This window comes from Homo sapiens, chromosome 14 (assembly GCF_000001405.40).
Source record: "Homo sapiens chromosome 14, GRCh38.p14 Primary Assembly".
Lineage (NCBI taxonomy): Eukaryota > Metazoa > Chordata > Mammalia > Primates > Hominidae > Homo > Homo sapiens.
The window spans coordinates 21,261,935-21,287,869 of NC_000014.9; the positions used below are offsets into that span (position 1 = coordinate 21,261,935).

A 25,935-nucleotide genomic window follows, 5' to 3' on the forward strand; every position below is an offset into this window, starting at 1 on the left:
AGAACACATTAGAGTTCCTAATCTAGCATTAGAACTCTATGAATTCACATTAGAATTCCCAAAATCTAGCTGGGTCTTGAGTCACCACTGTAAAAGGGGTCAGCCTTAGACAGTTCCTAATTTGGATGTAGAGGTTAAACAGATTTCCCTGCTTTGTGAGGTCAAAAAGCCTACCTTTTTTCAAATTTTTAAAAGCCCTCCAGTGAGACAGCATTTTAATATTATGTTGTATCTCCTATGGTTTGACTCTTGTGAAATATTAATGAGATAAAAAGTCTAAATAGAATATAATCCAAAAATGTCACAAACCCAAGGAATATGTTAAATGACAGAAAATGTTTACTGATTTGTAACAATCTAAAAAAAGGGACTCCCCAATATGTTTTCTTGTTGCTAATCATTAAAACAAGCCACTTTCATTTTAAACTTCAGCTGCTCTTTCCAAGTATCCAAAATGTTCTAATCAGCCCAAGTTAATTAGCAACTCATATTATTCCATTAGTTTACAAATAACTGAGGTGGTCCCCCTTGGGAAACACCTCAAGATGCACACACAAAAGTTTCAAACACTTCCAGATGCTATGACCTATACACATCAGCTAAACTGTTAAACGGGTTTATTTCCTAGTCTTTGTAATGAATCCAAGTGGACCTCACACCTCTTACCATCACCCAGGAAGGGTGTGCATCTGTTCCGAAGGCCCCCCTGGCTCCAGGTCATCCTGGCTGCTGCTGCTCCAGGCTGGGCATCCATGTTGCTGCAGCTTGTGGTTTGTGAGGGGTAGTGTACAGGAAAAGCAGGATGGGATTTCAAGGGAAACAGGAGGAAGATGGCTTTCAGGGAAAATGCCATCACGATCATAAGTGTTAAGTAGTACCACACACATTTTATTGCAGCACAGTTTAAAAATTTAACAAATGAAAGATTAAAAATAAAAAAACAAAAATAAAAAAAATTAAAAATACAGACGTCCAGAGATGCTCTAAAACAGTTAAGTTAAAGATCAGGAAAAATAAGGTCATAGACTTAACAGCCAGTAAAATTCTTTTCAGTGTGGGGAAGGGGATGAGGGCAAGGGTGGGGTTGGGAGAGAAAAGGTTTACGTGATCAAACCACTTAAAAATACTAATGCCTTCGCTTTCTCTCCCAAGATGCAAAACTCCAAAGTCAATCAGGAGGCCGGAGAAATTCTTAGAAACATTCAGAAAAACTCGATTTTAATCCGGTTAAAAATCATCAGTGTCATTATCATCATCATCATCACCATCATAAGTATTAATATAATAATAATAAGTAATAGTAACTAGTAACAACAATAAAAAGGAAATCAGCGGAAAGTCAGGAAAAATGTTAAAAAAAAATTGGAATAACTTACTGTAGCTGAAGATCAAAAAAATCTCACTGTAAAAAAACAAAAATAAAAATAGCCCAGATTAGAAAAACGGGAGGTGCAAAAATGTCAAGTCAGTAAAGTTCATTTCTTTTCTCTTTCCAAAAGCAGTTTCCACAAAAACCGCAAGGATAAAGTTTTCAGTAGCAGACAAGCAAAGCCCTTTCCACATCATCAATCAATCTTAAAAATACACGAGGAAGTAGAGAGGTCAGTTTATGAGAGGCTAAAAGGCTCCTCCTCCTCTAACCCAACTGCTGCAGAAAAAATAGAAATAGAAATTTTAAAAATTACATCTTAAATCCAGGTCCCGGTTTTGGAAACAATTAAAAAAAAAACACCTGTACATTTGCTGTAGTGCACACCAAGTTGCATCATTATGTTTAAAATGTCTTTATAAAATCAGTTTTGGAATGGAATGTGTGTGTTCTGGAAGGGTGGGGAAGGGAGGTTAAAAATCAAAGCTGAGCTCCAGTGAGTAGGGATGGGGTTCGCCTTGCTGCCCTGTGAAAGGAGAAGGGACAGATTGAGTCAGAGTTCCTCAGAAATGTTGTGCCCTAAACCCCCAAGACAGAAACATCTGTCTACTGCAGCTAACACATTTTGGTAAAGCATTAACATTCCACTGGGATGGGATAGCCTCCATAGAATCACCTCTACCAGTGACTGTCTTCACAATTCTTCAACATCAATAGATGACTAAAATTAACTAAATTCATGTCAATATGCCCTTGAGGGTCTCAAAAAGAGTATATCCCAAATGTTCATCTTGATAATGAGCAGTTTGGGCAAAGAAAATACAGAAAAACCGGGCCAACAAATAGAGATGAAATAGTGAGCAAATGTCAAATACTGAGATTATAAAACCTAAGCAGATTCATGGGTTTTAAACTTAAAAAAGTCCGTGGAGTTTTTGCTATGAGTAATAGACTGAAGGTGAATGGCCTACCATGAAGATCTATACTAGAGATGACTCATCTATTCTCAAAACCAGTGAGTGATCAAACCACAAGACCTAATAGGTTCTACTGTTAGGGGAAAAGATGTTTTAAATAAGGAGCACATTATTCCACTCACTGACAAAACGAAAATACAGATGGAATTAAAAAAATACTGAATATTTAAGGTCATAAAATAGGTGAAAAAAATTAAGGTCCTTATGTTAATACTTTTGTTTCTGTAGTCCACTATTTACTATGTAGCGTGTAAAGCTAATTTCAAGTTATGGATTCTAAAAATCTGGTACATAATACCACACTAAAATAATTTCCATGACAAACTGGTTGTTTCATCAGCTAAAATAGGAACTGCAATTAGACTGTAGTTCCTTGTGCAAACAATGAACTAGCTGCACTCACTGTTCAATTTAGCCATGAGGTCTTATTCTCCTTTGTAAATTTGAGGAAATTAAAATATTTTAAGGCCAAGTGTGGTGGCTCACACCTGTAATCCCAACACTTTGGGAGGCCAGGGTAGAGCACGGCTTGAGCTCAGTAGTTTGAGACCAGCCTGGGAAACATGACGAGACTTTATTAAAAACAAAAAACATTAGCAGGGTGTGGTAGCCTGAAATCCCAGCTACTTAGCAGTCTGAGGAGCGAGGATCACTTGAGCCCAGGAGTTCGAGGCTGCAGTGAGCTCTGATCACGCCACTGCACTTCAGCCAGGCCAGAGAGAGACCCTGTCTCAAAAAAAAAATTTTTAATTGAGCTTTTAGAAGTGTTCCTTGAGCCAACTATACATGAATGACTACAGCAGCAACAAGTACCATACATTTTTAAAAAGAACAGTGTAGGAATGACAGTTAATTTTTACATTTGATGTGTGAAAACTGTATGAATGTACAAATTGCGGAAAAAGTTTGTGAAGAATTGTAAGAAATATACATCTGAATGTTCTTTTCCTGTTTATGAAATACAGTTATGGTGAAACATTTCATTTTCTTATTTGGAGCCACAGCCCAAACCTGGTAATCAATTTTCAAGATACATAACTTTATAGCTCAACCACAACCAAGTCCTTTGTACAGGTGCCACAAGACATAAGCTTAAAAATAAAGAAAAATGTGAAAAGAAACCAATTCTATCTTTCAATATCAAAAAGCTCAGTATCTCCCAAGATGTTATTTATGTTAAACTGAAGAGCTACCACTCATAAAAAGACCAACTTTAGCACCATTTTCAATCAAGAATATTCCTTGAGGCCAGGCGGCGTGGCTCACACCTGTAATCCCAGCACTCTGGGAGGCTTGGGGCGGGTGGATCACCTGAGCTCAGGAATTCAAGGCCAGCCTGGCAACATGGCGAAACCCTGCCTCTACCAAAAATACAAAAAATTAGCAGCACTACTCAGCAGGCTGAGGGCACCCCTTGAGCCCGGGAGGCAGAGGGTGCAGTGAGCTGAGATGACACTACTGCACTCTAATCTGGGTGACAGTGTGAGGCTCTCAAAGAAAAAAAGTATCCTTACCTAAAGCTCAGAGATAGTTTTAGAAAAAAAGTATCTCTAGGTTATTCTTTGTCAAAACCTGCCTGAGGTTTGGATCCCTTCTTCTAAAGGGGCACCTCTCAGAATGAGTGATGCATGAGCATCATCACCTGGAACTTACTAGAAGTGCAAACTCTCAGGGCCCACCCCAGACTTACTTAATTAGAAACCCTTGTGGTAGAGATCATAGCAATCTGTTTTAACTAGCCCTATTGATTCTGGTGTTGGCTAACGTTTGAGAACCACTGTGAAGATTTTAAATTGGGAATCTCTCTATTCCCCAGTTTAGAATCAATTATTATCATTTTTTTGAGATGGGGTCTCACTCTGTCGCCCAGGCTGGAGTGCAGTGGTGCGATGGCTCACTGCAACCTCCACCTCCCAGGTTCAAGCGATTCTCCTGCCTCAGCCTCCCGAGTAGCTGGGACTACAGGCGAGCGCCAGCACGCCAAGCTAATTTTATTTTCAGTAGAGATGGGGGTTTCACCATGTTGGCCAGGCTGGTCTCAAACTCCTGACCTCGTGATCCACCCGCCTCAGCCTCCCAAAGTGCTGGGATTACAGGCATGAGCAGCCACACCCGGCCTTAGAATCAATTCTTTAAACAAAATGCCTGACCTTCCAGTGTACTGTGACAGAATCAAGTTAGAGCACCAAATAATGTTTTCCTGATACAATATAAATAAATCCAAAAACACATAACCTATGATAGTAAATGTACCAAAGAAACCTTTTTTCCTTTTATGTTAATAAACTCAAAATTTCCAATATCGAGAATACCTGTAGTTATGCTACACCTCAAAGTTCTGGTTCTCACCAATCCTCTAGTAAATCTAGTATGCACAAAACCAAAACCTTCCCATTTCCAATGAGAATACATGAATATGCATATTAAGAGCAAATAATGCTCCCCAGAGACAACTACTAATAAAGTACTTGAAGACTGAAATAATGTGGTTAAGAATAGTAATAATAACTACCAATTTAGAAAACCGGGGCCGGGTGCGGTGGCTCACGCCTGTAATACCAGCACCTTGGGAGGCCAAGGCAGGAGGACTCCCTGAGCTCAGGAGTTCGAGACCAGCCTGGCCAACACGGTGAAACCCCGTCTCTACTAAAAATATAAAAATTAGCCCGGTGCGGTGGCACACGCCTGTAATCCCAGCTACTCGGGAAGCCGAGGCAGGAGAATCGCTTGAACCCGGGAGGCGGAGGTTGCAGTGAACCGAGATTGTGCCACGACATGCACTCCAGCCTAGGGCGACAGAGCGAGACTCCGTCTCAAAAAAAAAAAAAAAAAAAAAAAAAAAAAAAACAAAACTGCTTTTAATAAAACTCAATCTGTACAGTTTTTAGGCTTCTGGCAACAAAAAATTTGAATTAGAAACTAAAAATTCAAATAGGTTTTAAAAAAAAGTCTAAGTCCCCTTATTTGCCTAAGGAGGATTAAAATCTATTTCTCCTAACTCCTAGGCAAACTTACTCCCCAGCCAACACCTCTCACATTCAACACTTTATTAAGATTTAATAATTTGCCCCTTAGTCTTTAAAATTAGAGCAACTAGCTATTTTGGAGTTTATTCTTTGCTTGTTTCGCACAGCCATTCCATCCAAAACAAGGTCGAATGCCATGTCAAATCCTCTAGAGATTTAATTACAAACGTAAGCTGTTTAAATTCTCTACAGAAGGAACATCAACCACCAAGTATTCCCGAGAGTGGCACTAGCATGAGGGGGAAAAAAAAGGTCAGAAAACCTGCAACCTGGCCATCCTTCTTCAACTTTTCCCCCTAGCCAATATGAAAATGTTACTAAACGCCTATCTAGTTGAGAACACACCTAGAATTGTGATATAAATACCGTGGCAAACAGTTTCGGATATTAACTCAAAGAATTTTTGGTGCGCTGATATACATACTGACCGGAAGGAACCCATTTTCGAAAACCTCAAAGAAAAGTGCCCGTCAATCAATTTCAACTACTATTAACAGTTCTTAAATACTAATTTCTGACATTTCTCCTTGCCAACATTTTTACTTCATGATTTCCCATTTTTACCCTAACCTCATTTCTAACAGTTCAGCACAATGATAAACTTTAGTTTTAAGTTCCTGTAATAATATACATGTTTAAGCCTTAAGAAAGGGGTCGCGATGTTTTTGACCCTTATTTTACTTCCTATCAAATAGATTGCCTTACAGATGAATTTCTTACCCTGCAGAATGGGTTTAAACTGTGCTTAACAGCTTTAGTTTTTGTGAGATTAACAGATTGTGAAAAATAAACTTAGCCAAATCTCATGTGAGGATTAAAAAAAGCGATGTCCCAGATAAGTCAATGTGACACTAAAGATCTAAACAATTTTTTTTAACTTTTAAGTTTTTTATCAAATTTCAGCACCCAGCAAATAATAGGCACTGTTAATATTTGCTTAATATAACGTAGCTGTGAATTTTTGCCCACATTTAGGCGGACGGGAAAATTAACGCCAGAATATCCCGAAAGTCAAATTTTGTCATCTTACACTTAGGAAGTTACGTTAAAAAATTCTCAAGTCTCGTAGTATTTTTCTTAAGCGCAATTTGGGAATTTCCAGTTACCTCGTGGTTTCCGTCATCAGGTTCTTGGCAAAGATTGCAATACAGTAGTTTTAGAACTATATTAACTAGGTATTCCATTAACTAGGTAAAAACCACTCGACTGACCTCGTGGTCAAATTCCTTACTAGTGCTGCTACTGACTTAATATGACCCTAGCAACCAACACTTTTCTGCCTCAGTTTCCGTCTGAGAAAGAGAGTTAATACCTACCTCAAGCAAAGTTCCACTAACTTATATATTTCAAGTGTTTTGTAACCTGCAGATGAAAAGTCAGCTGTAAATATTAATATAGTTATATCACAATATTTCCTTTTACAAATGTAAGTGAAAATAACTACTTCGAGCTCCATCATTTGCTCATAGAGAGAAATAAAATAAAAAGTTATCAGTAAAATGCTGAATCTTTTGTTAAACCTTTCTCGTAGGCCACGCGGCACGATCCAGGATTTAAAGGCTCGCGATACATCTACTTGGTAACCTTCCCCCTTCCCCTCCCCCACTTTTTACATGTAAGAAGAACGGAGGTAATAGAAGGCATCGGCGCTACGTTAACTTCGACTATATTAATGAGCATCACGATCTTCATTTTCATGATCCCGTAGTCCTCGCGGTCGTAGAAAATGAAAGGAAAGCAGCCGTTAACACAGGAAGAGCGAAAAAAGGACATTTTCCCTGGCGATCGTGGCCTAGAGGACACCAGGTTAAACCTATACAGAGGCTGAGGCCTATAAAACTGCCCCCGGCTTCAACCTAATCCCCCAAAACAAGCAGAATAAATGAGGGCCCGGTTAGTTAGGGGGAAGGATTCCCACATCTTCTCTCCCACACCCCCTCTCGCTTCCCGAAAAACCCAGCGCCTTCCCTGCGTCCGCCCTCTCCACTTACCAAGAAGGGGAGGGAGAAGAGATTCGATTCTGAGTCTCCTACTCCCGGGTTCTGCGTAGAGAAGCCGACTGCTGCTGGAGGTCGGCAACGCGGCCACAACCGCTCAGTCTTCGTCTCTTCACAAAATGGCCCCCGAGTCTCCTCTGCCGCCGAGGCGAAGGCCTAGTCCCCGCCCCATTCCTGAGAATCTTCCTATTGGCTGTGCGTTTTTTCGCTCCCGCTCCTAATTAGACAGTTCAACCGCTCCTCACAATGATATCCAATCACAATTAGCAGTGGGTTAGACTAAGCAGGCGAATTTCCACATGCGTGAGAGAAACTAGTTTATAACTGGTTAGTTTTCCTGTCATTTATTGCCTGGAGAATGCTTATTGGCTATTGCACGGGACGACCCTCTGGGTGGAAACTCGCCTTTGTATCGCGCACCGTCTCACATCCGGGTATCTGGGAGGCCTGATTGGCGGCCGCGGCGTCCTATCGCTGCCCCTTAGAGTGCCTAGTAGAAGATCCGCCCAGACCTCGGATTTCCGGCTGCGCGGGGGCGGGGAAAGGGTTGAGGGGCGTAGTTAGGTGACGGGCGCAAAAGACCTGCCCCAGCCCCGGGCCTAGGGAAAAAAAAGCGCGAAATGAAGCCTCCGTTGTGCAATGTGAATAAAGAAAGGACTTTTCTTAAAATGAGGAGGGAGCAGCAGTGACTAGGCCTTGTTAAAGTGTGTAGAAAACTAACCAGTCCTGCAGTTTTTCCAACCCCAGACCCTTTCTCAGTTCCAGATTCGAATGTCAGCTACCTCGTAGACATCTGCTTCTTGGCCTATTAAACCCTTCTTCAGACAACACATGTTCCATCGAAACCAACTGACTTCCTTATTCCTCTCCAATATAAAAAGGAAGTGCAGAATCCTGGCCTCTGGCCCCAGGGCATCTAATATCTTAAGTGCCAGCAAAATTGGCCCATCCTTCCAAATCTGGTCCCTTAATTTCCCTCCTCTTGAAATGGCTTGTCTCCTACCTACCCCCGTCACCTGCCAGTCTCTCTGGTTACATTATAGGAACTGCGCACGCAGTGGGGTAGCATCAGCTCTACTAAGCCAGCGGTTTCTTTTTTCTTTTCTTTTTTTTTTTTTTTTTTTTTTTTTTTTGAGGCAGAGTCACTGTCGCCCAGGCTGGAGTGCAGTGGCGCGATCTTGGCTCACTGCAACCTCCGCCTCCCGGGTTCAAGCGATTTTCCTGCCTCAGCCTCCTGAGTAGCTGGAACTACAGGTGCGCGCCACCATGTCCAGCTAATTTTTGTATTTTTAGTACAGATGGGGTTTCGCCATGTTGGCCAGACTGTTCAGGTGATCCGCCCGCCTCTGCCTCCCAAAGTGATAAGATTATAGGCGTGAGCCACCACGCCAGACCACTTTAAACTATTTTAAAAAGCAAAGACGAAAAATATGGGAGAAAGTATACACTAAAGTGTTAGTAGTGGTTCTCTCCTGGTGGGAAAATTACATGTGATTTTTTTTTTTAACTTTTTTTTTTTCAAACGGAGTCTCGCTTTGTCACCAGCCTGGAGTGTAGTGGCGCCATCTTGGCTCACTGCAACCTCCGCCTCCTAGGTTCAAGCGATTCTCCTGCCTCAGCCTCCCGAGTAGCTGGAACTACAGGTGCGTGCCACCACGCCCAGCTAATTTTTGTATTTTTAGTAGAGACGGGGTTTCACCATGTTGGCCAGGATGGTCTCCATCTCTTGACCTCGTGATCCGCCCGCCTCAGCCTTCCTAAGTGCTGGGATTACAGGCGTGACCCACCGCGCCCAGCCTTAAAATCTTATTGTACTTTTCTATATTTTCCAAATCATCTACTTTGAGCAAGTAATCAGAGGGAGAATATCCTACGAGTGCTTAAAGCCTCGACTCAATTGCCACATTGCAATTTATTTAAAATTATCTCGTAGCACTGTGGGTAGTTTTACACTCCTCTCCCTTCCTGGATGGTAAGATTTTTTGATGGCAGAGTTTAATTCTTACTCTTCAATATATTTTCCTTGTTTACTACCTATTAATAAATTAATAAAATATTAACCATTAACTTTTATTTATCAGGGGAAATTTTTATTTTTCCAGGACAAGCAGATAGACTGTCCTTTTTTTCTCTCTCTTTCTTTTGAGATGAGGTCTTGTTCTGTTGCCCAGGCTGTAGTGCATTGGCATAATCCCGGATGATTACAGCTTCAACCACCCAGTCGCAAGCAATCCTCCCACCTCAGCCTCTGGAGTAGCTGAGACCACAGGTGTGCACCACCACATTGGCTAATTTTATTTTTATATTTTGTAGAGACAGCGTCTTACCATGTTGCCCAGGCTAGTTTTGAACTCCTGGGCTCAAGCATTCCTCCCTCCTTGGCCTCCCAAAATGCTGGGAGGCACCATGCCAGCCCTGTCTTTTCTTTCTTTTCTTCTTTTTTTTTTGAGACAGAGTATTGTTCTGTCGCCCAGGCTGGAATGGAGCGGCGCAATCTCGGCTCTCACTGAAAGCTCCGCCTCGCCGGGTTCAGGTCATTCTCCTACCTCACTCAGCCTCCCGAGGAGCTGGGACTACAGGCGCCCGCCACCGCGCCCGGCTAAATTTTTTTTGTATTTTTAGTAGAGACGGGGTTTCACCGTGTTAGCCAGGATGGTCTCGATCTCCTGACCTCGTGATCCTCCTGCCTCAGCCTCCCAAAGTGCTGGGATTACAGGCGTGAGCCACTGCGCCAGGCCCTGTCTTTTGTTTGTTGTATGTTTTATGTAGCACTTACTCAGAGAGGCCTGGAGTCTGTCGGGTCTGGTTGACATGTAATTTATGTTATTATTATTACTATTATTTGAGACAGGATCTCACTCTGTCGCCCAGTCTGGAGTGCAGTAGCACCATCAAGGCTCACTGCAACCTCGATCTCCTGGGCTCAAGAGATCCTCCCACCTCAGCCTCCTGAGTAGCTGGGACTACAGGCGTGTGCCACCAGACTCACTAAGTTTTCTAATTTTTGTGGAGATGGGGTTTCACCGTCTTGCCCAGGCTGGTCTCAAATTCCTGTGCTCAAGCAATCCACCGGCCTGGGCCTCCCAAAGTGCTGGGATTACAGGCTGACCCACGTCTGGCCTCTTGACTTAAGTAAACAAAACTGTCTCAAAAATAAAATAAAATAAAATAAAATTTTATAGAGCTCTCTCGTTTTAGCTAACACTGCTTTATACTTTTTTTTTTTTTTTTGAGATGGAATTTCGCTCTTGTTGGCCAGGGTGGAGTGCAACGGGGCGATCTCGGCTCACTGCAGCCTCTGCCTCCCAGGTTCAAACGATTCTCATGCCTCAGCCTCCTGAGTAGCTGGGACTACAGGCATCCGCCACCATGCCTGGCTAATTTTTGTATTTTTAGTAAAGATGTAGTTTTGCCACGTTGGCCAGGATGGTCTTGAACTCCTGTGCTCAAGCAGTCTGCCCGACACACCTCCCAAAGTGCTGGGATTACAGGCCTGAACCACCGCACCCGGTTAATATCTTTTTTTTTTTTTCCTGAGACCGAATCTTGCTCTGTCACCCAGGCTGACGTGCAGTGGCGTGATCTTGGCTCACTGCAACCTCCGCCTCCCACGTTCAAGCGATTCTTCTGCCTCAGCCTCCCGAGTAGCTGGGATTACAGTCGCCCACGACCACGCCGGGCTAATTTTTGTATTTTTAGTAGAGACGGGGTTTTACCATGTTGGCCAGGCTGGTCTTGAACTCCTGACCTTAGGTGATCCACCCACCTCGGCCTTCCAAAGTGCTGGGATTACAGGCTTGAGCCACCAAGCCCGTCCCCAATATCATTTTTAAAAACCAATCCCCTCTTCAAGACATTGAAGTTGTTTCCAGTTTTTCAGTATCATATATCAATTATTTTATTATTTTATTTATTTATTTTTGGGGGGTGGGGGTGGGGATGGAGTTTCACTCTTTCCCCCAGGCTGGAGTGAAGTGGCACGATCACAGCTCATTGCAATCTCTGGAGCGGTGGCTTACGCCTATAGTCCCAGCACTCTGGGAGGCGAGGTGGGTGGATCACCTGAGGTCAGGAGTTCGAGACCAGCCTGGCCAACATGGTGAAACCCTATCTCTGCTAAAAATACAAAAAATTAGCTGGGCGTGGTGGCAGGCGCCTGTAACCCCAGCTACTTGGGAGGCTGAGGCAGGAGAATCACTTGAACCCAGTGGGGTGGAAGTTGCAGTGAGCTGAGATTGCGCCATTGCACTCCAGCCTGGGCGACAGATTGAGACTCCATCTCCAAAAAATAAATAAATAATATGAACAAACAGGCAAAAAAAATCTTTGATCACAGTCCAAGTGTGGCGGGCCATGCCTGTAATCCCAGCACTTTGGGAGGCCGAGTTGGGCGGATCACCTGAGGTCGGGGAGTTCGAGACCAGCCTGGCCAACATGATGAAACCCTGTCTTTTCTTAAAATACAAAAATTAGCCAGACGTGACGCGCACTTGTAATCCCAGCTATTCGGAAGGCTGAGGCAGGAGATTCATTTGAACCTGGGAGGTGGAGGTTGCAGTGAGCCAAGATCATGCCACTGCACTCTAGACTAAGGGACAGAGCAAGACTCCGTCTCGAAAATTAAAAAAAAAAAAAAATCCTTGTCCACAAAGCTTTAGAACTGGGAGAGATAGCTGGGCGCGGTGGCTCACACCCATAATCCCAACACTTTGGGAGGCCAAGGCAGGAAGATCACGAGGTCAGGAGACGGAGACCATCCTGGCCAACATGGTGAAACCCCGTCCCTACTAAAAATACAAAAATTAGCTGGATATGGTGGCGCATGCCTGTAATCCCAGCTACTTGGGAGGCTGAGGCACGAGAATCGCTTGAACCTGGGAGGCGGAGGTTGCAGTGAGCCGAGATTGCACCACTGCACTCCAGCCTGGCAACAGAGTGGAAAAAAAAAAAAAAAAGAAGGAAAGATAAAGTCTGGATTATGACATCCATTCGTGGTTTTGAAATCAAGTAATATTTGCTTCTAAGTATTATTGACTACCCTTATATTAAATATTAATAGTAAAAATAAAAATTTACTGAGCAGATACCATGTGTAAAGCACTTTTCTAAGTGTTTCACATGAATTAGCTCATTTGATAATTTTATTATCCCCATTTTAAAGATGTAGAAATGAAAGCACAGAAAGGTTAAGTAATTTGCCTAAGGTCACACAACTAGTTTTTGGTGGTGCAAGATTCTGACACTATAGCTAGACACTCGGAAGCCTGTAATCCCAGCTACTCAGGAGGCTGAGGCAGGAGGATCCCTGGAGACCAGGATTTAGCTACCAGCAGCAAGACCGTGTCTCAAAAAGAGAAAAAAAAAAGATTCTAATGCTAGGAGGTCTAGTTCTAGAGGATATGCAAATAACCATTACACTATTATTAATAATGTAATGTATGCCAAGGTGGGAAAATCCTACCCATTCACTCAACAATACTTGTTAAACGTACTATGTAATTAGCTGATGCCACAAGAGCATAGAAGTAAACAAAACAGACATGGCCCTGCCCTTCAGAACAGAATCAAATATTAAATGGATAATTACTCAATTAATTGTTTATACTAAATTGTGAGTGCTACTGAAAATAAGTAAGAAGGTGCTATGAGACCTATATAATAGAGACTTCAAGCCCCTTCAGAAGATATTTGAAAATAAGTGACTTTATTTTAAAAACATCCTCCAGCTTGGGCAACATCTCTTAAATTTTTTTTTTTTTTTTTTTTGAGACAGAGTATCGCTCAGTCGCCAGGCTGGAGTGCAGTGGCACGATCTCGGCTCACTGCAGCTTCCACCTCCCAGGTTCAAGCGATTCTCCTGCCTCAGCCTCCCAAGTAGCTGGGACTATAGGCTTGTGCCATCATGCCCAGCTAATTTTTGTATTTTTAGTAGAGATGGGGTTTCACCATGTTGGCCAAGCGGTCTCAAACTCCTGACCTCGTGGTATGCCCACCTCGGCCTCCCAAAGTGCTGGGGTTATAGGCGTGAGCCACCACGCCCGGCCAAAATATTTTTTTTTAATGAAAAATAGTGGGGCATGGTAGTGGGTGCCTGTAGTCGCAGCCACTCAGGAGGCTGAGGCAGGAGAATCCCTTGACCCCCGGAGTTCCTGGCAGTATGCTATGATTGTGTCTGTGAGCAGCCACTGCACTCCAGCCTGAACAACATAGTGAGACCTCATTTCTGAAAAAAGGAACATATAAACTTCTAATTTCTTTCTTGTTTCTTCAATTTCTCTTTTCACTTTCTACTTAATGTTTTTCTCCTACTTTTCCTTTGTCTTCTTTGTTCCTCTGCTAATTTTCATCTCAGCAGTGACCTAAATCTGGCTTCCTGTAGGTTAAGCCTTCTTTAACGTATTTGCCATCTGTTCTCATTCTGGCTCTGAAGCACAGGATTTTATCCTCTGGTAATTTTTCATTAAGCTAATCTTTGTACAACTTACAAAATGCTTTTTTAGTTGACAAAGGTCACATTTCATTGTCAGTGCTTATTTTACTATTATGGTACAAACTGAGCTCTTGAGCAAATCTAGATGGCATAAAAATACTATGTGAACTATCTGGCCCACATTTTCAAATATAAAATTTATGCAGGGTCTTTTCCTTTTTTTTTTTTTTTTTTTTTTTTTTGAGAGGGAGTCTCCCTCTGTAGCCCAGGCTGGAGTGCAGAGGTGCGATCTGGGCTCACTGCAGCCTCCCTCTCCCAGGTTCAAGTGATTCTCCTGCCTCAGCCTCCAGATGCTGGAAATACAGGAGTGCGCCACCACGCTCAGCTAATTTTTGTTTTGTTTTTTTTTGAGATGGAGTCTCGCTCTGTCGCCCAGGCTGGAGTGCAGTGGCGCGATCTCGGCTCACTGCAAGCTCCACCACCCAGGTTCACGCCATTCTCCTGCCTCAGCCTCCCGAGTAGCTGGGACTACAGGCGCCTGCCACCGCGCCCGGCTAATTTTTTGTATTTTTAGTAGAGACGGGGTTTCACGGTGTTAGCCAGGATGGTCTGGATCTCCTGACCTTGTGATCCACCCGTCTCGGCCTCCCAAAGTGCTGGGATTACAGGCGTGAGCCACCGCGCCTGGCCTGTATTTTCAGTAGAGACGGGTTTTCGCCATGTTGTCCCGGCTGGTCTCGAACTCCTGACCTCAAGTGATCCACCCGCCTCTGCCTCCCAAACTGTTGGGATTACAGGAGTGAGCCACTGCACCTGGCTTGTTTGGTTTTTCTTTTGTTTTTGAGATGGAGTCTTGCCCTGTCGCCAGGCTGGAGTGCAGTGGTGCCATCTCCACACACTGCAACCTCCGACTCCCTGGTGCAAGCTAATCTACTTCCTCAGCCTCCTGAGTAGCTGGGATTATAGGCAGGCACCACCAAGCCCAGCTAATTTTTGTATTTTTAGTAGAGACGGGGTTTCACCATGTTGGCCAGGATGGTCTCAATCTCCTGACATCATGGTCCACTCGCCTCAACCTCCCAAAGTGCTGGGATTACAGGAGTGAGCCACCGCACCTGGCCTTTTTTTTTTTTTTTTTTTTTTTACAGGGTCTCCCTCTGTTGCCCAGGCTGGATTGCAGTGGCGCCATCTCGGCTCACCGCACCCTCCACTGCCCGGATCTAATCCATCTTCCCACCTCACCCTCCCGGATAGCTGGGATTACAAGTATGCGCCACCACGTCTGGCTAATTTCTTTGTATTTTTAGTAAGACAGATTCTGCCATGTTGGTCAGGCTGGTCTTGAATTCCTGGCCTCAAGTCATTGGCTGCCTTAACCTCCCAAAGTGCTAGGATTACAGATGCGAGCCACCATGCCAGGCCTCAGGGGACCTTTGTATTTTAACTTTTTTTTTTTTTTTTTGAGCTGGAGTCTCGCTTCGTTGCCCAGGCTGGGGTGCAGTGGCAAGATCTCGGTTCACTGCAACCTCCACCTCCATGATTCGCCCACCTCGGCCTCCCAAAGTGCAGGGATTATAGGCATGAGCCACAGCACCTGACCTGAAATTTCTGTTTTTTTTTTTTTTTTTTGAGACAGAGTTCTGCTCTGTCGCCCAGGCTGGAGTGCAGTGGCGCAATCTCGGCTCACTGCAACCTCCGCCTCCCCGGTTCAAGTGATTCTCCTGCTTCAGCCTCCAGAGTAGCTGGGATTACAGGCACTCACAACCACGCGCAGCTAATTGTTTTTGTATCTTTAGTAGAGACAGGGTTTCACCATGTTGGCCAGGCTGGTTTCAAACTCCTGACCTTAGGTGATCCACCCACTTCGGCCTCCCAAAGTTCTGGGATTACAGGTGTGAGCCACCAAGCCTGGCCAATGACTGAAATTTCTTTTTGTTTTTTTTTGAGATGGAGTTTTGCTCTTGTTGCCCAGGCTGGAGTGCAATGGTGCAGTCTCGGCTCACTGCAACCTCCGCCTCTGGGGTTCAAGTGATTCTCACTGCCTCAGCCTGGTGAGTAGCTGGGATTACAGGTGCCTGCCACCACGCCCAGCTAATGTTTGTATTTTTAGTAGAGATGGGATTTCACCATGTTGGTCAGGCTGGTCTCGAATTCTTGACCTCAGGTGATCCACCCACCTCAGCCTCCCAAAGTGCTGGGATTGCAGGTGTGAGCCACCGTGCCCGGCCTGAAATTTCTTTAACACAGAACAAAGTCTTACTGTCTACATTGAGAAGTACATTAAGCCTAGTGGAAAAAGTATCACGTAAATTCACTCCAAGATGTAATGAGAATGTTAAGGGAAACTGGTTGCCTGAAAGAGGTAGGAGATGTTTTAAAAATTAACAAAAGTCAGCCGGGAATGGTGGCTCACGCCTGTAATACCAGCACTGTGGGAGGCTAAGGCGGGTGAATCACCTGAGGTCAGGAGGTCAAGACCAGCCAGGCCAACATAGTGAAACCTCATCTCTACTAAAAATACAAAAAATTAGCTGGGTGTGGTGGCGGGTGCCTGTAATCCCAGCCACTAGGGAGACTGAGGCAGGAGAATCTCTTGAACCCGGGAGGCAGAGGTTGCAGTGAGCCAAGATTGTGCCATTGCACACCAGCCTGGGCAACAAGAGCAAAACTCCGTCTCAAAAAAAAAAAAAAAAAAAAATTAACAAAAGTCAGAGGTTCAGAAAAGAGAACACGATTATCAAACACAAACTTGGCTTACTTCAAAATTAATTTTGTCCTGCACTGTCTCTGGCTAGAGCATCTTAAAAAAGGACAGAAAATCCCAGATTTATCAAGAAATAGCTTGGGCAAGAAGCAACCTTAAGTGCATAAAAGCCCAGCTTTTAAATTTTATAAATCTGTCATTTAAACCTGGTAAAATATTATATTGAATTTTCCTCTCTTCACTGGGAAATGTATGTGTCCTGGATACTTTCTCTACTTCCTAATTGTCTCCCTAGCTTTATTTTATTTTATTTTATTTTATTATTTCATGGGATTTAGAGGAAGTCACATGGGGCCCATTAACTATGTGTTCATCCTCCTGGAAATCCCCGAACCTCATGCCAATAACCAGAATGGAGCTTTCTCAATGCACCCATTCAGTGCATTAAAGAGAGGATTTAGGCCAGTCGTGGTGGCTCAGGCCTGTAATCCCAGCACTTTGGGAGGCCAAGGTAGGTGGATCACCTGAGGTCGGGAGTTCGAGACCAGCCTGACCAACATGGAGAAACCTTGTCTCTAGTAAAAATACAAAATTAGCTGGGCGTGGTGGCGCATGCCTGTAATCCCAGCTACTCAGGAGGCTGAGGCAGGAGAATTGCTTGAACCCGGGAGGCAGAGGTTGCAGTGAGCCGAGATCGCACCATTGCACTCCTGCCTAGGTAACAAGAGCGAAACTGCATCTCAAAATAAATAAATAAATAAAGAGGATTTTATGTAACAATTGAGACCGTATTCCACTTAATATATAATATGAATGCAGTGACCAGCCTTGCAGAATTTTTAAGAACATTTAATTTTCTTATATCAAATCCTATTGCTTCATAATTACATCCCAAAGTTTGGTTTCAAAACGGTGGTCACGGTGAAATGGAAGATATACATTCTCTTACTCGAAAGCACTGGCACATGTGGACTGAATAGGCATGTTGATCCCACCAACGGTGCAGTGTTTGTTCTCTTCAAAGGGATCTCAGGGCTTCAGAACAACTCCCACTGTTGTTGCCCTTCAGATAAAGATTTAAAGAATATCGGCCGGGCGCGGTGGCTCAAGCCTGTAATCCCAGCACTTTGGGAGGCCAAGGCGGGCAGATCACCTGAGGTCAGGAGTTCGAGACCAGCCTCAACATTGAGAAACTCCATCTCTACTAAAAATACAAAGTGAGCTGGCTGTGGTGGTGCATGCCTGTAATCCCAGCTACTCGGGAGGCTGAGGCAGGAGAATTGCTTGAACCTGGGAGGCAGAGGTTGCGGTGAGCCGAGATCGCGCCATTGCACTCCAGCCTGGGCAACAAGAGTGAAACTCTGTCTCAAAATAAATAAATAAATAAATAAAAGATTTAAAGATCATCCTCTGAATACCAACAAATTTCTTTTAATCTCAAATCCCGCAAATGTGTTCTCAGCTTTAGTTTTAGTTGAGAAGTGGATCTGTTAAGGACCCTTTAAGCTGCTCTTTCTCCAAGTCAAACATGCATAGAGAAAAAGCACAGCCTTCACACACTCTGATCTACAAAGAGTTAACATCTTAAAAGCTAAACAGAACTGGATTAGCTCCTCTTTTAACAAGCCAGAAGGACAAGCTTATTGGAACCTAGAGTACTAAAGGACACCAGAACATTGAGAGAAAAGAATTAGCGACAGCTATCTGGAGCAAGCAAGAACTGTAAGTTTCTATCTGATGCATATTTATAGTTTCCTATGTCTTCCCTAGGGGTGTTTTTGAGAAGAATGAAATAAGTTTATTCTTTTTTTTTTTTTTTTTTTTGAGACAGAGTCTTACTCTGTCGCCCAGGCTGGAGTGCACCGGCACTATCTCTGCTCACTGCAACCTCTGCCTCCCAGGTTCAAGCGATTCTCCTGCCTCAGCCTCCCAAGTAGCTGGGGACTACAGGCATGCGCCACCATTGCCCGGCTAATTTTTGTGTTTTTAGTAGAGACGGGGTTTCACCATGTTTGCCAGGCTGGTCTTGAACTCCTGACCTCAGGTGATTCACCCGCCTCGGCCTCCCAAAGTGCTGGGATTACTGGCATGAGCCACCGCGCCTGGCCTGGTTTATTCATTTTCTATTGTACCACCAGTCTCCCAGGCATCCAGCACAACATTACCAAGTCATCTTTAATCCTGTCACCCTCTTAACTCTATCTCACGTCCAACCAGTTGTCACATCTTTTGATTCTCCTTCCTCAGTGTCTTCATGATCCATCCTATTCTTCCATCCCCCACCCCCCTCCTTCCCTAGTTCAAGACTTCTTGCCTGAACTATAGCAATATCCTCTTAACACTGTTCTCTCCCCAATTTCCAAATCACTAATAGTAGATGAATCTTCCTAATGCTCTTCCATAGCTCTAATTATATTGCTCTTTTGCTCAGAAATGTATCCACTATCTGCAGAATGAATAAAACTCCTTTTCAAATTAATTAATTTTTAATTGACAATTTGAAATTGTATATATTTATTGTGTAAAATTTGTTGCTTTGAAATATATATATAGAGAGAGTGGAAAATGGCTACCTTGGGCTTTTCTTTTTTTTTTTTTTGAGACAGAATCTCTCTCTCTCGTGAGGCTGGAGTGCAGTGGCTCAATCTCGGCTCACTGCAACCTCTGCCTCCTGGGTTCAAACAATTCTCCTGCCTCAACCTCCCGAGTAGCTGGGACTACAGGTGCGCACCACCATGCCCAGCTAATTTTTGCATTTTTAGTAGAGACAGGGTTTTACCATGTTGGCCACGGCCAGGATGGTCTTGATCTCTTGATCTTGTGATCTGCCCGCCTTGGCCTCCCAAAGTGCTGGGATTACGGGCGTGAGCCACCACACCTGCCCAATCTTGGGCTAATTAAAATATGTATTACCTCATATGCTCATCAATTTTTTGTGTTTGATGAGAACACTTAAAAATCTACTCTTGGCCCAGGCGTGTTGGCTCACACCTGTAATCTCAGCATTTTGGGAGGCTGAGGCGGGTGGATCACTTGAGATCAGGAGTTCAAGACCAGTCTGGCCAACATGGCAAAACCCTGTCTCTACTAAGAATAGAAAAATTAGCTGGGCGTGGCGGCTTGCGCCTGTAATTGCAGCTGCCTGGGGGGCTGAGACATGAGAATTGCTTGAACCCTGGAGGCAGAGGTTGCAGTGAGGCGAGAGCATACCGCTGTACTCCAGCCTGGGCAACAGAGTGAGACCTTGTCTCAAAAAAAAAAAAAATAAATAATAATAATAATAATAATAATAATAATAATCAGAGTAAGGGGAACTGGCTACAAAATTTTAAATGCTTGCCCAGTGATACAGAGTGTAAAAAAGAAAAAAAAGAAGTCTGGGCAGGGTGGCTCATGCCTGTAATCCCAGCACGTTGGGAGACCGAGGCTGGCGGATCCCAAGGTCCGGAGTTCGAGACCAGCCTGGCCAAAATTGTGAAATCTTGTCTCTACTAAAAAATACAAAAAATTAGCTGGGCATGGTGGCAGGTGCCTGTAATCCCAGCTACTCTGGAGGCTGAGACAGGAGAATCGCTTGAACCCGGGAAGCGGAGGTTGCAGTAAACTGAGATTGCAACATTGCACTCCAGCCCAGGCAACAATGTGATACTCTGTCTCGAAAAAAGAGGAAAAGAAAATTTTAATTGCTGATGTCATCAAGCTGGCTTTATACGTCTATCCATCTATCACTAGTAAAGGGTTCTTCACCCTCACTAACCTATACTTGTCCAAGTGCACTGCAATTCTGAATATCACTGCAAGGAAATTTTTTTTTTTTTAAGACGGAGTCTTGCTCTGTCACCCGGCTGGAGTGCAGTGGCGTGATCTCACCTCACTGCAATCTCTGCCTCCCAGGTTCAAGCAATTCCCCTGCCTCAGCCTCCTGAGTACCTGGGACTACAGGCACGCACCACCATGCCTGGCTAATTTTTTTGTATTTTAGTAGAGACGGGGTTTCACTATGTTGACCAGGATGGTCTCGATCTCCTGACCTCATGATCAGCCCGCCTCAGCCTCCCATAGTGCTGGGATTACAGGCGTGAGCCACCACGCCGGGTGGAAGTTTCTTCAGTCTTTCATCCTGTTGAGTTCAAAACAATTGATAAACCCTTTTAGAATCTACATTCCATTTTTTTTTTTTTTTTTTTTTTGAGACAGAGTCTCGCTCTGTCTCCCAGGCTGGAGTGCAGTGGCGTGATCTCGGCTCACAGCAAGCTCCGCCTCCCAGGTTCACGCCATTCTCCTGCCTCAGCCTCCCCAGTAGCTGGGACTACAGGCGCGTGCCACCACACCCGGCTAATTTTTTGTATTTTGTAGTAGAGATGGAGTTTCACCACGTTAGCCAGGATAGTCTTGATCTCCTGACCTTGTGATCCACCCATCTCGGCCTCCCAAAGTGCTGGGATTACAGGCGTGAGCCACTGTGCCCGGCCTACATTCCACTTTTTCATTCCTGAGAAATTAAATCTGGCCACTGGATGTTCAACACGCCTTCACTGACAGTCTCAACTGGCTTTTCTTCTCTAGCATTCCAATAAACTCCATTTCATTCTTAGAGCTTCTGTGACTTCAGTTTTAATGATACTTTTCAATTGCTCCATAGTGCCATATAGCATTGGTGGTGCGTCAATGTGCTCTGGGCCCAGATATTAAGAACAACAGCATCCCTTCTACTACAGCTCCATTTTTGCAAATGGCTTCAGGTCCAGAGGACCAAGCTTATGATGCAGTCACCTTTCCTTTTCCTTCACATTACTTTTCTACAGTAGGAAACTAGGAAGGTGGGTGACTAAGTAAACCTGTAGATGCTACTCTATTTATTTTATTTATTATTATTATTTTTTGAGAAGCTGTCTCACACTGTCGCCCAGGCTGGAGTGCAATGGTGTAATCTTGGCTCACTGCAATCTCCGCCTCCTGTGCTCAAGCGATTCTCCTGCTTCAGCCTCCAGAGCAGCTGGGACTACAGGCATGAGCCACTACACCCAGCTAATTTTTGTATTTTTAGTAGAAATGGGGTTTCGCCATGTTAGCCAGGCTGGTCTCAAACTCCTGACCTTGTGATCTGCCCGCCTCGGCCTCCCAAAGTGCTGGGATTACAGGCATGAGCCACTGTGCCCAGCCCCTATATATGGTACTTCAAATGGAGATTTACTTGTAAACTAAATGCAGATTTACTTTTTTTTTTTTTTTAGACAGAGTCTCACTCTGCTTTGCCCAGGCTGGAGTGGAGTGCAGTGGCACGATCTTGGCTCACTGCAATCTCCACCTGCCGGGTTGAAGCGATTCTCCTGCCTCAGCCTCCCGAGTAGCCGGATTACAGGCGCCTGTCACCATGCCCAGCTAACTTTTGTCATGTGGCTGGGCTAGTCTCGAACTCCTGGCCGCAGGTGATCCATCCGCCTCAGCCTCCCAAAGTGTTGGGATTATAAACGTGAGCCACCGTGCCTGGCCTGAGATTTACTTGTAATCCTAGGTCTAACATGCGAAAGTACTTAAACTTTGGGGTGATTATTCAGCTTTCTTAAAATAGGCATGCTATGAAATCTGTATAGATCTATTTAAGACTATGACATTGGAAAGATGCTCTCCATTTATTGTGATTTTTAAAAATGAAATGTTACAGAACAGAGTATGAATTATCCAATTCAAGTTAAATTGCCCGGAAAGCAGATCAATACAATGTTTACATTTTCTCTAGGTGATAGAATTTCTCCATTATACTTTTTGCTTTCTTCTTTATATTTCTCTGTTTGTTCAAAATAAGCTTCTGAACACCCTTCTCCAGTTGACAAGTCAAGCTAGCTTCAACAAAAAGGGAGAATTTGTTGTATAGGGCACAAGACTCTACTATAGAACCTAAAGGTAGGAACAGAGCCAGACAGTGGCATTTATGGAAATAGGGAAAGACTGGGAAACAATCAGACTGGTAAGAGAAATTACAATTCCTCTTTGGGAAAGGTGAGTTTCAGTTGTCTAGTATGTTTACTAGGGGAAACATTTGAAAGGGGAAATGTTTAAAAAGAATTTGTACAAATCTGAAAGTCAAGGCTGGAGAACTAAATTTTTTTTTTTTTTTTTTTTGAAGATGGAATCTCTCTCTTGTCACCCAGGCTGGAGTACAGTGGCACGATCTCTGCTCACTGCATCCTCCGCCTCCCGGGTTCAAACTATTCTCCTGCTTTAGACTCCTGAGTAACTGGGATCACTCTGTCGTGGCACATGTCACCGCGCCCAGCAAATTTTTGTATGTTTAGTAGAGACAGGGTTTCACCATGTTGGCCAAGCTGGTCTTGAACTCCTGACCTCAGATGATTTGCCCGCCTCAGCCTCCCAAAGTACTGCGAATACAGGCGTGAACCACTGCTCCCAGCTGAGACATAAATTTTGGAGACAAAACTGGAAAAGACTGGAATCAAGAACAGAATGCTTTAAGAACTTTTTGACTCACTTCAGTCCCTCAGTGTCATTCTCTCTCTTGTTCGTTCATTCTACTTTTCATACATTCGGTGTTTATTTGTTGAGTACCTGCTATGTGCCAATAACTGTTCGGGTACTGCATCTATAGAGGTAAACAAGATAAACCATTTTTCTGCCTTCAAAGTCACTATGTTTTAGTGAGAGGGGACAGACAATAAACTAGTATAAATAAATGAAGGTAGTTTCTGTGTATAGTAAATGTCACAAGGGAAATAAACAGGGTGAGGTGACAGAGTATAAGACTGGTAAGAGAAGGGGAAGTGCTCAGTTCAGCTACCAAAGTCAGAGAAAGGCCTCCTGGCAAATGAAAAGATGCTTGAGAGACCAAAGGATCAGATGGAGTCAGCCAAATAAAGAGCAAGAAGGAGGCCAGGTGCAGTGGCTCAAGCCTGTAATCCCAGCACTTTGGGAGGCCAAGGCAGGCAGATCACAAGATCAGGAGATCAAGACCATCTTGGCTAACATGGTGAGACCCCGTCTCTACTAAAAACACAAAAAATTAGCCGGGCATGGTGGCACGTGCCTGTAGTCCGAGCTACTCAGGAGGCTGAGGCAGGAGAATCACTTGAACTCGGGAGGTGGAGGTTACAGTGAGCTGAGATCGCGCCACTGCACTCCAGCCTGGGTGACAGAGTGAGACTCCATCTCCAAAAAAAAAAAAAAGAGCAAGAAAGAGCTTGATGGTTGGGAGAGCAAAGAGAGGGCAAGTGGTGAGGAGTGTTGTGAGCTAGAGGAAGGAAGGTACAAGGTGTGATTGGAGGAATAAGAAGCGGATCAGCTGAGGTTGGGCTTTACAGGCCCTGGAAAAAAAGTGTAAATTTTACTTTAAGTGTAATGAAAAGCCATTTGGAGACTTTTGGCAAAGAAATGTTATGAACTGGGTTGTTTTATACAGGTCACTCTGGGTGTTTCAGGCAGAAATAAGGGAGGATGGGAGAGGAAAATGGGGAGAGCATTAAAAAATGTGGTAGTTGAGGAAAGAGACACAGATCACTTGAATTTTAGTGGCGGAGACAGGCTAATATATGTTGTTTTTGTCTGTGTTTGTTTTTTAGACAGTTTTGCTCTTGTTGCCCAGGCTGGAGTGCAATGGCACAATTTCAGCTCACTGCAACCTCCGCCTTCCAGGTTCAAGCAATTCTCCTGCCTCAGCCTCCTGAGTAGCTGCGATTAAAGGCACCCGCCACCACGCCCGGCTAATTTTTTGTATTTTTAGTGGAGACAGGGTTTCACCATGTTGGCCAGGCTGGTCTTGAACTCCTGACCTCGGGCGATCCGCCCGCCTCAACCTCCCAAAGTGCCGGGGTTACAGGCATGAGCCACTGCACCTGGCTGATACATGTTTTAAAGGAAGAACCTGGAGAACATGCTAATGGGTGAGGGAAAGGGAGGAATCAAAGCTGCAGGATTGGTAGGACGGTAGTGGCATTTATGGACCTAGGGAAAGACTGGGAAAAGATGAGACTGGTAAGATAAATCAAAATTCCTGTTGGGGAAAAGTGAATTTGAGATATCTAGTAGCCATGCCAAGAGAAATGTTTAAAAAAATAAGAAATTGGGCTGGCTGCGGTCTGATGCCTGTAATCCCAGCACTTTGGGAGGCTGAGGCAGGCAGATCACCTGAGGCCAGGAGTTCAAGACCAGCCTGAGCAACACAGTGAAACCCCATCTCTACTAAAATTACAAATATTAGCCAGGCATGGTGGCACATGCCTGTAATCTCAGCTACTTGGGAGGCTGAGGCAGGAGAATTGCTTGAACCCAGCAGGTGGAGGTTGTGGTGAGCTGAGATTACACCACTGCACTCCAGCCTGGATGACAAAGCAAAAAACAGAAAACAAAATTGTACAAATCTGAAGCTGGAGACAAAAATTTTGGAGACAAAAGCATATACATACATAGTATTTAAAGTCAGGAGACTGGGCCTGGCACGGTGGCTCATGCCTTTAATCCTAGCACTTTGGGAGGCAGAGGCTGGAAGGTCGCTTAAGCCTAGGTGGAGGCTGCAGTGAAACGTGGTTGTGCCATTGTACTCCAGCCTGGGGGACAGAATAAGACCCTGCCAAAAGAAAAAAAAAAGAGGAAAGAAAGAGAGGAAGGAAGGAAGGAAGGAAAGAAAAGAAAAAGAAGAAAAGAAAGAGATGAAAAAAAGAGAAAGAGGCCAGGTGTGGTGGCTCACGCCTGTAATCCCAACACTTTGGGAGGCCGAGGCGGGCAGATCACCTAAAGTCAGGAGTCCAAGACCAGTTTTGCCAACATGGCAAAACCCTATCTCTACCAAAAATACAAAAATTAGCCGGGTGCAGTAGTGGGTGCCTGTAATCCCGGCTAGACTGGATACTATCATCCAGGAAAAAAAGTGTTGGCCAGAGTATGAGGCAACTCTATAGACAGGATTTCCTGATTATTCAGGCCACAGAGCTGAATATGGTCATTTCAGAGCTCCCAAGTTTACATAGTAGTTCTAGCCATCCCCAGAGGCTAATTTAAACTTCTCAGTTTTATTTTCAACCTCCTAGGAGATAGAATCTGATTGGTTCAGCGAGGGTCATTTGTCTTGGGTCATTCGATTAACCCTGGTCCAATCAGCAATGGCTTCGGGGACTGGATTGTAGGCTATAAACTGATTCCTGGGGAGTCAGTCCCTGTAAATTGAGTGGAGAGAGGGATAGAGGCCTATTTCGCAGAGAAAAGGGATGGTCATCGGCTTCCAGGCTGAGCAGACACTTAAAAAAATGATCCGAAATGATATCCATCAATTCCATAATCATAAAAACTGATTTTCATTTTGGATCAAGTCATTCCTACTGAATACTTGTTGTTACTCTTTAGTGTAGAGTTGTCCACACTACCATGAGAATGACTCTGACATGTCATATACCATCATGAAAGTGCTGAGAAATTCCTGCTACA

At 44.1% G+C, this 25,935-nt stretch overlaps 2 protein-coding genes across 19 annotated transcripts in view, besides 7 other annotated features; one reads left to right on the forward strand and one right to left on the reverse strand.

The window, feature by feature from the left end:
* Positions 1-7,508, reverse strand: part of HNRNPC (heterogeneous nuclear ribonucleoprotein C) — a 60,296-nt gene extending 52,788 nt beyond the window's left edge. For 4 of the 18 annotated variants that reach the window (NM_004500.4, NM_031314.3, XM_011536712.3 and 1 more), the window contains exons 1-2: positions 7,364-7,508; positions 1,377-1,402 (exon numbers count right to left, since the gene is read on the reverse strand). The gene's annotated coding sequence lies outside the window, so the exon portion shown is untranslated. Of the gene's footprint in view, positions 1-659; positions 3,615-4,458; positions 6,735-7,363 lie in introns of all 18 variants that reach the window. The other 14 variants (XM_006720125.4, XM_011536710.3, XM_017021253.3 and 11 more) reach the window with 9 other exon arrangements.
* Positions 4,327-4,907: an enhancer, noted in NCBI's record as "H3K27ac-H3K4me1 hESC enhancer chr14:21734420-21735000 (GRCh37/hg19 assembly coordinates)". NCBI's record gives its function as "activates a minimal SCP1, AML or CMV promoter by ChIP-STARR-seq in primed H9 embryonic stem cells {active_cell/tissue: H9 hESC(primed)}" and the evidence as "EXISTENCE:reporter gene assay evidence [ECO:0000049][PMID:30033119]".
* Positions 4,908-5,487: an enhancer, noted in NCBI's record as "H3K27ac hESC enhancer chr14:21735001-21735580 (GRCh37/hg19 assembly coordinates)". NCBI's record gives its function as "activates a minimal SCP1, AML or CMV promoter by ChIP-STARR-seq in primed H9 embryonic stem cells {active_cell/tissue: H9 hESC(primed)}" and the evidence as "EXISTENCE:reporter gene assay evidence [ECO:0000049][PMID:30033119]".
* Positions 6,987-7,611: an enhancer, noted in NCBI's record as "NANOG-H3K27ac-H3K4me1 hESC enhancer chr14:21737080-21737704 (GRCh37/hg19 assembly coordinates)". NCBI's record gives its function as "activates a minimal SCP1, AML or CMV promoter by ChIP-STARR-seq in primed H9 embryonic stem cells {active_cell/tissue: H9 hESC(primed)}" and the evidence as "EXISTENCE:reporter gene assay evidence [ECO:0000049][PMID:30033119]".
* Positions 7,249-7,508: an enhancer, noted in NCBI's record as "active region_8100". NCBI's record gives its function as "activates an Ori minimal core promoter by ATAC-STARR-seq in GM12878 lymphoblastoid cells {active_cell/tissue: GM12878}" and the evidence as "EXISTENCE:reporter gene assay evidence [ECO:0000049][PMID:35858748]".
* Positions 7,599-7,678: a silencer, noted in NCBI's record as "silent region_5582". NCBI's record gives its function as "represses an Ori minimal core promoter by ATAC-STARR-seq in GM12878 lymphoblastoid cells {active_cell/tissue: GM12878}" and the evidence as "EXISTENCE:reporter gene assay evidence [ECO:0000049][PMID:35858748]".
* Positions 7,599-8,237: a biological region, named in NCBI's record as "NANOG-H3K27ac-H3K4me1 hESC enhancer GRCh37_chr14:21737705-21738330".
* Positions 7,612-8,237: an enhancer, noted in NCBI's record as "NANOG-H3K27ac-H3K4me1 hESC enhancer chr14:21737705-21738330 (GRCh37/hg19 assembly coordinates)". NCBI's record gives its function as "activates a minimal SCP1, AML or CMV promoter by ChIP-STARR-seq in primed H9 embryonic stem cells {active_cell/tissue: H9 hESC(primed)}" and the evidence as "EXISTENCE:reporter gene assay evidence [ECO:0000049][PMID:30033119]".
* Positions 18,149-25,935, forward strand: part of RPGRIP1 (RPGR interacting protein 1) — a 71,219-nt gene continuing 63,432 nt past the window's right edge. The window contains exon 1 of the mRNA NM_020366.4: positions 18,149-18,225. The gene's annotated coding sequence lies outside the window, so the exon portion shown is untranslated. The remainder of the gene's footprint in view (positions 18,226-25,935) is intronic.